This window comes from Homo sapiens, chromosome 4 (genome assembly GCF_000001405.40).
Source record: "Homo sapiens chromosome 4, GRCh38.p14 Primary Assembly".
Classification (NCBI taxonomy): Eukaryota; Metazoa; Chordata; class Mammalia; order Primates; family Hominidae; genus Homo; species Homo sapiens.
The window spans coordinates 187,295,560-187,308,165 of NC_000004.12; the positions used below are offsets into that span (position 1 = coordinate 187,295,560).

Consider the following 12,606-nt stretch of genomic DNA (forward strand, 5'->3'; position numbering starts at 1 on the left):
AGAATCCCCTGGTAAACCCATCAGATCTCATGAGACTTATTCACTTTCATAAGAATAGCATGTGAAAGACAGGCCTCCATGATTTAATTACCTCCCACTGAGTCCCTTCCACAACACATGGGAATTCTGGGAGATACAATTCAAGTTGAGATTTGGGTGGGGTCACAGCCAAACTATGTCATTCCACCCCTGGCCCCTCCAAATCTCATGTCCTCACATTTCAAAACCAATCATGCCTTCCCAACAGTCCCCCAAAGTCTTAACTCATTTCAGCATTAACCCAAAAGGCCACAGTCCAAAGTCTCATCTGAGACAAGGCAAGTCCCTTCCGCCTATGAGCCTGTAAAATCAAAAGCAAGCTAGTTATTTCCTATGTACAATGGCGGTACAGGTATTGGGTAAATACAGCCATTCCAAATGGGAGAAATTGGTCAAAACAAAGGAGTTACAAGGCACATGCAAGTCCAAAATCCAGCAGGGCAGTCAAATTTCAAAGCCCTAAATGGTTCTCCTTTGACTACAGGTCTCCCATCCAGGTCATGCTGATGCAATGGGTAGGTTCCCATGGCCTTGAGCTGCTCCGCCCCTGTGGTTTCACAGGGTACAGCTGCCCTCTGGCTGCTTTCATGGGCTGGTGTTGAGTACCTGTGGTTTTTCCAGGTGCACAGTGCAAGCTGTCAGTGGATCTACCATTCTGGGGTCTGGAGGACGGTGGCCCTCTTCTCACAGCTCCAGTAGGCAGTGCCCCAGCAGGAACTCTGTGTGGGGGCTCCAGCCCCACATTTCCCTTATCCACTGTCCTAGCAGAGGTTCTCCATGAGGGCCCCACCCCCACAGCAAACTTCTGCCTGGGCATCCAGGAGTTTCCATACATCTTCTGAAATCTAGGCGGAGGTTCCCAAAACTCAATTCCTGACTTCTCTGCACCCTCAGGCTCAACACCAGGTGGAAGCTGCCAAGTCTTGGGGCTTTCACCCTCTGAAGCCACAGTCTAAGCTGTATGTTGGCCCCTTTCAGCCACGGCTGGATCGGCTGGGACACAGGGCACCAAGTCCCTAGGCTGCACACAGTATGGGGAACTTGGGCCTGGCCCATGAAACCACTTTTTCCTCCTGGGCCTCCAGGCCTGTAATGGGAGGTGCTGCCATGAAGGTCTCTGACTTGGCCTGGAGACATTTTCCCCATGGTCTTGGGGATTAACACTAGGCTCCTTGTTACTTATGCAGATTTCTGGAACTGGCTTGAATTTCTGCCCAGAAAATGGGTTTTACTTTTCTATCATATAGTCAGGCTTCAAATTTTCCAAACTTTTATACTCTACTTCCCTTCTAAAACTGAATGCCTTTAACAGCACCCAAGTCACCTCTTGAATGTTTTGCTGCTTAGAAATTTCATCCACCAGATATCCTAAATTATTTCTCTCAAGTTCAAAGTCCTACAAATCTCCAGGGCAGGGGCAAAATGATGCCAGTCTCTTTGCTAAAACATAGCAAGAGTCGCCTTTCCTCCAGTTCCCAACAAGCTCTTCATCTCCATCTGAGACCACCTCAGCCTAGAGTTTATTGTCCATATCACTATCAGCATTTTGGGCAAAGCCATTCAACATGTCTCTAGGAAGCTCCAAACTTTCCCACGTTTTCCTGTCTTCTTCTGAGCCCTCCAACCTGTTGCAACCTTTGTCTACTACCCAATTCCAAAGTTGTTTTCACATTTTCAGGTATCTTTTCAGCAGTGCCCCACTCTACTGGTACCAATTTAGTGTATTAGTTCGTTTTCACACTGCTGATAAACACATACTTGAGACTGGGGAAAAAAAAGACATTTAATTGGACTTACAGTTCCACATGGCTGGGGAGGCCTCAGAATCATGGCAGGAAGTGAAAGGCACTTCTTACATGGTGGCAGCAAGAGAAAATGAGGAAGAAGCAAAAGTGGAAACCCCTGAGAAACCCATCAGATCTTGAGACATATTCACCCTCATGAGAATAGCATGGGAAAGACCCACCCCCATGATTCAATTATCTCCCCCTGGGTCCCTCCTATGACACGTGGGGATTCTGGGGGATACCATTCAAGTTGAGATTTGAGTGGGCACACAGCCAAACCATATCATCTTCTATGCCACAGGTACTGGAATATAACTTGAAGAGATCCTGGATCCCAACTCACATTATTTTGGGGAAGAGAAACAAGTAGTTGAATAAACAAAATAAAATCCAGTTTATGAAAAGTGCTATAAAGAACACAAATGGGGATGCTGGGTCTTTATGTAATAACAATGGGGCCTTTAAAATAGAGTATGGAAGAAGCTACTTTAGATGGCTGCAAGTGGGAAGCCCTCCACGGAGGTTCAAGCTGAGATATAAAGGATGAGAAAAGTCCAGTCACATGAAAGCACAGGAAAAGAGAAACCTTGGAGGCCCAGCAATGGGGGAGATTGGAGTGTGACTGCTGCAGTGAGCCAGTGGCTGGGGAAATGCGTGATTGGAAAGGAGAACAAAAGCCAGGCCATGCAAAGGCTCGATGTGTCATGGAAACCTGTGGAAAGATGTTAGGTTGGGACATGTTTTGTTCCTGGGATATGAATTACATTTTTAAAAGTTTATTTTTGTCACTTAAGAGAATAGATTGAAAAGGGTAAAATTAAACACTAGGAGATCAGTTAGTGAATGATCTGGGCAAGAGAAATCTGGCTTGAATCATGGTGGTGAGGGTGCAGGTAGAAAGAGGTGAGTCTGAGATCTATCTGGGAGTGTCACAGAGAGCCTGATGAGAGGAGGTGAGGGATGGGAGAAGGGAGGAGTGGAAGTAGGTGACTTTTAGGTTGTTGCCTGGTAACCAAGTGGATAATGGTGCTATTTACTGAAATGTAAAGATGACTCTGCTGGGCGAGGGCAGGAGGGAAGTCATAGAATGTACTTGGGATATGTTGGGATATCTAAGGCTACTTGAAATGCCTATGAGACATTCAACATAAATTTCAAATAAATAGTTGGATATAAGCCTAGATCTAGGGGGAAAGTTGGAGCTAAAGACATAATTAGCATTTATCAGATTATAGATGGTAGATAGATCTACATTCATGGGAGTGTGTGAGATCAACTGCGAAAAAGTACATATGTGTAAGAAAAGAGTGCTTAAAACCTACTCGTGAGAAAATTCAATATTTAAAGATAAGTAAAGGAGGAGGCTCATGTGTAGAGTCTATATACAAATTGGAAGTGGTGGTGACTGAAAAAAATGCATTAAAATTAACCAAATTTTCTCTTTTCTAGGCACTGTCCTAATTGTAGATGCTTGAGAAAATAGAGATGTAATCATGGATACCCACCAGGTATTTGAGTCAGGTTCTTCAATGCAAAAGTCACATAGAAGCTGCTGCTTTAATGTTTGTAACAGACTTCCAAACTAATGTCTCTTATAATGTCCCTGTGTATTAAGATTTCCATAAAACCATTACAATTTCTATTTATTTTGTCTAGATGTAAAGCAGACGGCATATCATATTACATATATTGCTAAAATTCTTGCAGCCTAATGTATACAGATTTGTGAATTTTGAGTGATCTGAAGTTCATGAATATTTTGAGGTTGGTTTGTTTTGTCTTGTTCAAAGCCTAGATATCATGTTTTTTCAGTTTAACATATTTCTTGAGGGAAAAGAAATGTTTAGATTTCCAGCTAGTTATAAAATTGTCAGAAAGAATAGAAGTTAAACATACAGAGAAACAAAGGTTACACATCTGGGAAAATAGTAGAAAAGCCTTTATATAGTCTTGGCAAATGAATTCAGAGGTTTTATTTTTAATCACAACTGTGAAGAAAGAAAGATTACCTTTTGGGGAAATTAATGAATATTGTGGGCTTAGACATAAAATAATTGTTAATTGCTCCATTTATTAGAAATCATATGTCAAAAGTGTTTTATCATCAGTAATACAATAGCAATAGAGATAAAAATATATACGGATATTTGATTTTGATGATTTTAATCTCCTATGCCATTTCCATAACAACATGATTATTCACACCTGTCAAACTGATGGGTGAGAATGTCAACTTGCCCTTGAATGCCAAAGACTATTTTCAGACCCTTGAGTTTTCTCACCAATTCAATCCATTTTGCATGCTTCTGACATGCCTTTTAGAAGACCAATTTGCTTATATCTCTTTACCTATTTACTGAAACCCTCATTTATTAGCTTGGCATTCAAAGTCTTCTACAGTCTTGCCATATCTCACTTTAAATCTGTTTCTCCCCCTACTCACCTTCTCCAATGCAATCCCTATGTTGTAATATGGCTAATCTACTTGTTTTTTTAATGTATTTCATGTTACTACTATCTTGAAGTGTTTTCTATGTATTTCTGTCTCTACACTGTGATCCTGCATTGTGCCATCTACTTAGTGACATGCATTCCCTTCTTTGACACATGTGTCTTACGTGCCTTTGTCCCCCACATATTACCTAGACTGGTGCCATATCATAGACAGTAGGTTATCAATAAATGCTTCTTGGTTAGTTAGATGATTAGTATACAGTATGCTTTTGATGAGAAGGGTAAAGAAAATCATCAGAGAAGTTAATGGAATTAGACTCCACCCTGGGTGTCTCTGCCTTCAAAACTCATGTCTTTCACATTATTCCACGCCAACTCCCACAGAATAGTATTTGTCTTAGTCCATTTCTGATGTCATAACAGAAAACCGGAGATCAGGTAATTAATTATATGATTAGTTAGAAAAAGATTCATAACTAGAACCTAGTGCTCCCCATTTCCCTCATGCTTGATAGGTTTTTAAAAATTTATTGAAATAGTTGCAATTTTGTCAAATTATTTTTGACTCATAATTCATACCTTCTGATATTTCTTACTTTGTAAAAATGATTTTCTTCTTTCCATTTTGTATCTACAATTCAGCTTCGGTTTCTTTCTTTTCATTTCTACTTTTCCCTTTTGTTTAAAATATAACCCATTACAATAAACTTAGGAAAGACTGTACTGAATATTGTCTCTATAAAGGGCATGAAAGTCTCCTTAATGTGAAGTTGAGGTAGCGTTAAATATACACTTAATTCAGCAAACTGACATCTCACCAAGCAATCTTTTTGCTATGTGGACACATTTGTGTGTTTGTGTGCGTGTGTGTGCGTGTTTGTGTGTGCGTGTGTGTATGTATGTATTGCGCATGTGTGTCTGCACATTGTAGAGAATGGCATTTTCACATTACCACAAAAACACTTTATATAAGAAAATAATTCTAAATTGGTCCATAGGAGAGGGAGCCATAGGATGGGTTAGAACTGACTTCTGTCTCTGACTTCTCCATCCCCATTATTTTGTTTTGTGTTTCTGAAGCCAGTTTTACATCTTAGTAGAGCCATAAATAATGACAATAAGCTGGAAAGGCTGGCATCTACGAGGGTGGAGAGAAGAGGTCAATAACATACATATATAGTCTTGGGGGTGCTAAATGTTGAGTAAAGCTAACTCCAAGCAGAGCACAATGAGTGGCTGGAGAAAAATACCTGTCAGTCTCCACACTTTCAATTCCAGGGTGAGGAAGGGTCCTTACCAGACTTGAGGGAGCTTTTGAGGTGTTCTAGCCAAGCTCTTCAATGAATTGTCATTCAGGCTACCTGCCTACTCCTTCGGCTACTCTACCCAAAGTTCCTGCCCCATGGGTGGGGCCACTGCATCAAACAACTCTCCAGGGAGAACCATTCACATCATCACCTATGCCTATCTGAATGGCACCTATGCCTATCTGAATGGAGCCTATTCAACCACAGTCCATACGGCTTTACCTGCAGCCTTGCATAAAACCTTGTAGAAATATTTCTTCAAATTCCTTTCTATTTTCTGATTATCTTTTCTTTTCTTTTTTTTTTTTTTTTGCTTATTTTTAGGGCGCAAATATTTAAATTTTAGATTTTCTTTACATTAACAATGCAAAATACACACAATTCATTCACAAGTTAGCAACTCAGCTAATGTAGACACTTCTGGGCAATGGCTGGTGTTTTGTTTTCAGATATGGTTAAGAAAATAGCCATACAATGGCTCCTGTTTGGGCTCTGAAGCCAACAGACTCCTTCCTCTGTCCCCAAATAGGATAACAAAAGATTTAGGGAATATTCAATACTTTTCTCAAAGAAGTAAGTGATTTGAGTGTAAGTTGCTACTTCCCTGTAAGAAATAACAGCAAGCATAGATACGCCTAAGGGAAGGCAGGACGAAGCCGCCACTTTCCTTGGAGTCTAAAACTCTGACCTGAAAAGTGTTCGCAAGGGATTGGAACCAAAGCCAGGATTGATTTGCTGAGATTTGCACTCTCACCTAATGGCCTGAGGAAGCAGTGCTGCTGTCTTGGTTTGTTCTGGCAGCTATAACGAAATACCATAGACTGGGTGGCTTATAAACAACGGAAATTTATTTCTCACCGTTCTGGAAGCGGGAAGTCCGAAATCAAGGCCTGACAGTTTCCGTGTCTGTGGGAGGGCCGATTTCCTTGTTCACAGAGAGCACCATCTTGCTGCATCCTCACACGGCGTGCGGGGCGAGGCGGTTCTCTGGGCCCTCTTTCATCAGGGCACCGATCCCCTTACTGATGGGGGCTCCGCCCTTACGATCTAATCACCTCCCAACAGCCCCCCTTCCCAACACTCTCACACTGGTGACTAGATTTCAGCATGAATTCTAGGGGAGCCACAAACACTCAGACCACAGCAGTGACCAACGTAGCATTAGTCAAGAAAGCCCAAGACACTCAGTCTCTGCTAGGGAGGAAGATCTTATCGGTAAATGTGAACATGTATTTCAGGATTCAAGAGGTGATTAGAAGTGAACAGTTTTAAAGATTACAGAAAGCACAGTGGCAATGCTTTAAAAGAAAGACTGCTTTCCTGTTTGAGTAAGAGCAAGAATATTAAATCAGGAGCATTCGCCAATTGACATTCCTGTGCTGGTGTGAGGAGAGGGCAGACGTTCAAGTCAGAGCTCAGCTATCCAGCTCATCTTCACTCCACTGGACTCTGAGGCCAGATAATTAGATTCCTTCTTTTCTCCCAAATTTATATTTCATCACAAAGCTGAATGACCTTTCCTGTCAGTGCAACCAACAAAGATGGCTGGGCAGGAAGTAACCAGACGTTGCAGGCCCTCCCACACCAAGGAAGTTGTATATTGCAACCACACAGACTGATTTTTGTTTTAATGCCAAGCTATGCAGCTCGGCTGTCAGAGCAATGAAGTGAAAATAAAATTAGGGGCCAAATGTCTAAACCCTCAAGAAATGTCATGGATAAGAAGAATAAAACAAGTAAAAGGTTTTCCTTTTTTTGTTTTAATGTTTAAATATATATGAATTTTGTTATCAGTGCACTGAAAATGGAATCAGTGACCCGTTGGACCAAATGCTTATGTTCAAGAAATGCCTTGAACTTTAAATAAACTCCATGTTATTTTGCTTTGGATTAATTTACTTGCAGATGTGTGACATTGCTTGGGAATATAGGTCCAGCTGGAAAATACAGACAGAGGCAGGGCAGAACCTAATTTTCTTACGATTCAGACTTTGCTGAACAGACAACATAGCTTTCAAAAGAAACATGAACTTCTCTTTCTTATTCACTTCAGGGACAGAGAGATTGAATTGAAGGCAGAATTCGGAGTTTCCTCCAATGACCACAAAATAGCATTTTAAAATCTTGTCGTGTTTGTTTTTTGCGGCTGTTTTGATTTTTTTTTCTTTTCCTCAGCAGGCTTGTGAATTTCCAAGTAGCCCCATCCTGCTGCTTCTTCCCTTATTCCTGTATTTATTAGCAGAGAGGATGCAGTCAGCAGCTCTGCAGCCATAGGGAATTCACATCACCTCTCTGAGCCTTAGCTTTCTCTCTGTAAACTGAGAGCATTGGGCTAAATAATTTCTTCCTCCAGTGGTTGGTCTATTTCCTAGGTCTGTGTGGAGTTACTACTTGGATGTCCCTGAGGGGGAGGTAGAATCTCTTCACTATAGCCCCCAATACTAGAGGATCAGTTAGTCAGTCAGCCAAAGAGATCATTCACGTCAATTTGTGAAGGAGGCCGGGGTGGTGGCCTACCTACGCTCCAAGAACCTAGTACCTCCTTTCCCCTCTCCTATCAGATGACTTTTTTTTTTCTGTTTTCAGTTTGCTCTTCTATAGAATTATACTACACTTTTACTGGTATATATAGAAAAGCAATTTTCATTACCATAAAGGATTAGAAAGCAAAACTTTAAAAACTAAGCTCATGCAAGTATCTTCACATCTTAGAATATTAGGGGAGATATTCATATGGGATGCTGACTGATGTCAAAAGGCCAAACATACAATTATGGGGGTTACCATCCCATTTGTATATTACCTCCTTGTTAGAAATCAATAGTTTATTGATTATTTTTCACATTATTTTTAAGAATATTTTTAATTGTCAGACAGTAACAGTAAGACATTTTTAAATTGTTAGTAAAATAACTTCTATGTATAAATAACCTCTGTCTTAGTGAAGTAACTTTTATTTATTAGCAAAACTAAATCTTATTCATGCTCGTTTAAGCAAAATGAATTACAGGACTATGGGGTCTATTAATTTGCTAGGTCTGCTGCAAGAAATTACCATAAACCAGGTGGCTTAAAACAACAGGAGCTTATTCTGACAGTCTGCAGGCCAGAAGTCTGACACCCAGGTGTCAGCAGGCCGCGCTCTCTCGGAAGGCTCAGCGGGGGGTCCTTGCTTGGCTCTCTCCCAGCTTCTGGTGGCTGCCTGGCAGCCCTTGGCGGACCTCGGCCCAGCCTGTCTCAGCATCACTCCAATCTCTGCCTCCGCCTCCTCCTCTGGGTGGCCCTGTCTCTGCCTCCGTCTCCTCCTCTGGGTGGCCCTGTCTCTGCCTCCGTCTCCTCCTCTGGGTGGCCCTGTCTCTGCCTCCGTCTCCTCCTCTGGGTGGCCCTGTCTCTGCCTCCGTCTCCTCCTCTGGGTGGCCCTGCCTCTGCCTCCGTCTCCTCCTCTGGGTGGCCCTGCCTCTGCCTCCGTCTCCTCCTCTGGGTGGCCCTGCCTCTGCCTCCGTCTCCTCCTCTGGGTGGCCCTGTCTCTGCCTCCGTCTCCTCCTCTGGGTGGCCCTGTCTCTGCCTCCGTCTCCTCCTCTGGGTGGCCCTGTCTCTGCCTCCGTCTCCTCCTCTGGGTGGCCCTGTCTCTGCCTCCGTCTCCTCCTCTGGGTGGCCCTGTCTCTGCCTCCGTCTCCTCCTCTGGGTGGCCCTGTCTCTGCCTCCGTCTCCTCCTCTGGGTGGCCCTGTCTCTGCCTCCGTCTCCTCCTCTGGGTGGCCCTGTCTCTGCCTCCGTCTCCTCCTCTGGGTGGCCCTGTCTCTGCCTCCGTCTCCTCCTCTGGGTGGCCCTGTCTCTGCCTCCGTCTCCTCCTCTGGGTGGCCCTGTCTCTGCCTCCGTCTCCTCCTCTGGGTGGCCCTGTCTCTGCCTCCGTCTCCTCCTCTGGGTGGCCCTGTCTCTGCCTCCGTCTCCTCCTCTGGGTGGCCCTGTCTCTGCCTCCGTCTCCTCCTCTGGGTGGCCCTGTCTTCCCCTTTCAGACCCTGAGAAGCACACCTGCCAGTGGACCTAGGGCCTACCCTAATCCAGGAGGGTCTCATCTCCAAATCTTTACCTTACTGACATCTACAAAGACTATTCCAAATAAGATCTTATTCTGAGGTTCCAGGTGGACATATCTTTTGGAGGTCACCGTTCAACCCACCACACAGGGAGGGTCATGGAGCTCAAGTGAAGAAACAGCACCTGGGCTCAGCAGCCACCGAAAATAGCAATTGCGGAACCCGTTGGAAACCAAGCTCATTTTCTTGGCCCTCCTCTCGCCTTCCAGGCTGCATGGCTCCTTCATCTGCTTCTCTCTGACTGGCAGCATCAACCACTTTTCTCTGCAGCCTGTGTCAGCTTAGGACAGAAGAGAACCCTTACACTTACATGCGTTTAGCTCCAGAGCACACGGACAGTGGCTAACCTCTGCCTCATTTCTACATTCCTGAGAAAAACAATCTCATGGGCTAGTTTTGGTTAAGCTTCTGTCATGGATCCCATCAGCTGTAGTTGAGACAATGGTCAGGTAAGTAGGTGCTGGAAGGGAAAGACATTCTCAGTTTAACAAAGTATTTTAAATGAAGTCACAATAGTGTAAAAGTTAATAATAATGAGGTTTCTAAATACTCTTTCCAATGTTTTTCACTAAAGTTCATTAAGTACTATTCAAATAGTACTTACGTTTTTAAAACTATCCCCCAAATACTTCAGAGCCATCTAAAATGGTTGCTGGGTTTAGACTTCCCTGACACCTATGATGAGTCATAATTTAGTTATCAATTTTAGTGGTCTACTCTTATCATAAGGGCCTGTGAGGAAGGTCAAGGTAGTTTGCAGTGGCTTTTCTAGAAAATCTTTCAGAAGGCTCCAAGCTGTATTGCCTGCAATTAGGATAATAGGCTTGGCTTCTGTCAGAAGGCTCCTTTCAGTTCTGTAAAAGTTCCTGTTGGTGAGTGGTTTATTGGGCCTATGAGATGTGATCTCTTTCTTCTGGAAAGAGGTCCCTATATGGCAGTAATGGAGGAATACGTCCTGGAAATGAGAGAGCATATGTGCTTGGAAGCGAGGTGGTGGTGGTGGGGGGTGTTAATTAGCATGACAGGAAGAGAAGACCTATTCAGAAAACATAATGGTGAGAGAGGGAAATCAGAAGCGATATACTGGTTGGAAACCAAAAAGCCTCAGGGAGACAGAGTCAAATATGATGGCCATAATTAAATCAAATAATGTACTCCTTTTCCTTGACAAATCAGTGAGCCTTCAGAAGTGTGTGAAGCTTGAGATTCAGACATGAAATGCGAACATGTGAGGATATGAGACAGCCCCTGTGGCCCATCTTCCAAATCTCAGAAGTGTGTGAAGCTTGAGATTCAGACATGAAATGTGAACATGTGAGGATATGAGACAGCCCCTGTGGCCCGTCTTCCAGATCTCAGAAGGACAGAATGAACAACTTCAGAATCTTAGTGTCAAATGTAGGCATGGTGCTTGATAGCAAAAGTGCATCAGGTTCAAATCTTAGAAAATAGAATTGGCATGGATAGGGTAAAAAATTGGTCGCTATGAGAAAAGCAGCATTGTTGATTTCATTTACTAACTGTTGTAATAATGCTGTGTGTGTGTTAACTGAACCAACTAGGAGGAAAATGTAAGGAAGAGTGCTCCCTTGTTATTGAAATGGGCTTGGAAGTCAAAGAGGGAATGTCTGGTAAAGGCTATAGCATAAGTAGGATGACCCAACAATAGATTTAACAGATTATATCAATTATCTGGATAAACTTACATAAGAGTGGTACTGATATGGCTATTACATGCGAGGGACTAAATTGTGTCCCTACAAAATTCATGTGGAAGCCTTAACCCCCAGTGTGACTGTATTTGGATACCAGAATTTTAGGAGGTAATTAAAGTTAAGTGAGGTGATAATGGTGGGGTCCTAACCTGACGGGTTTGGTGGCCTTACGAGGAAATGAAGAGAGAGAGCTCTCAGTCTCTCACATAATTTGGAGGCAGAAGATCCAGTCTGAGGGCTGGTCACGTAGGCATTCTTGGGAGAGGGCAGTACAGGCATGCCTCAGAAATATTGTGAGCTCAGTTTCAGATCACTGCAATAAAGAGAACATTTCAATAAAGTGAGTCACAAGAAGAATTTGATTTACCAGTGCATATAAAAGCTACGTTTATACTATACTGTAGTCTACTAAGTGTGCAAGACACCACATGTACTTTTCTAATGTTCTCTCTCTCCATGCAGATGCACACAGGAAAGGCCATGTGAGGACACAGCAAGAAGGCTGCCTCTACAAGCCAAGAAAAGAGCCCTCATCAGGAACTGGTCTGCTGGAGCTTGATCTGGGACCTTCAGCCTCTAGAATTGTAAGAAAATAAACTTCTGTTGTTTTGACCACCAGACTTACAGTATTTTGTTATGGAAGCCTGAGAAGACTAGTACATATGACCATAGCCATTTTCACAATGTTTAGCATATGTTTACATCTCTTTTATTTATGCTATGAAATTACCCTGACATAATGCTCATATTTAAAGATATTACCTACTATATTTTTCTTTTTGGATGGGTGTAGCATTTTGTGGGTAGCTGGATTTTTTGATCAGACAAAGTTCAGAATCAAACTGCCAATATAATAGTTCTGTACGAGAAAAAAAAAGGTAAGGAATGGAAGATAGGGATACTATAAAGTAGGAGATATACGACAGGAAATCCATGCCAATAACTCTACATTTACCTCCTAAATGAAGATGTAGCCTTGTTGATCATTGGTTTCAACAAAGTATCAAGAGAGGCACTGATGTCTGCCCATAAGTGTGCAAACTTTTAGGATGTTCTTCCTGAATGGGTATAAAAAGGCTGAGGAATAGTAGGAAACTGAGATACTCTGATCAAGCAATACCCCTTCTGATGTGAACCACGTCTGCCTATATATTTGGCTAAATAAATTGGGAACTTAATCTAATTTTGTCTTGGTTGTCTTTGTGTAGT

General features: G+C 42.8%; 1 long non-coding RNA gene across 1 annotated transcript in view; it reads right to left on the minus strand.

Annotated features, from left to right (window-relative positions):
- Positions 1-8,523: 8,523 nt before the first annotated feature.
- Positions 8,524-12,606, minus strand: part of LOC339975 (uncharacterized) — a 201,531-nt gene continuing 197,448 nt past the window's right edge. The window contains exons 3-5 of the long non-coding RNA NR_038931.1: positions 11,547-11,710; positions 9,153-10,142; positions 8,524-8,982 (exon numbers count right to left, since the gene is read on the minus strand). This is a non-coding gene — a long non-coding RNA (uncharacterized LOC339975). The remainder of the gene's footprint in view (positions 8,983-9,152; positions 10,143-11,546; positions 11,711-12,606) is intronic.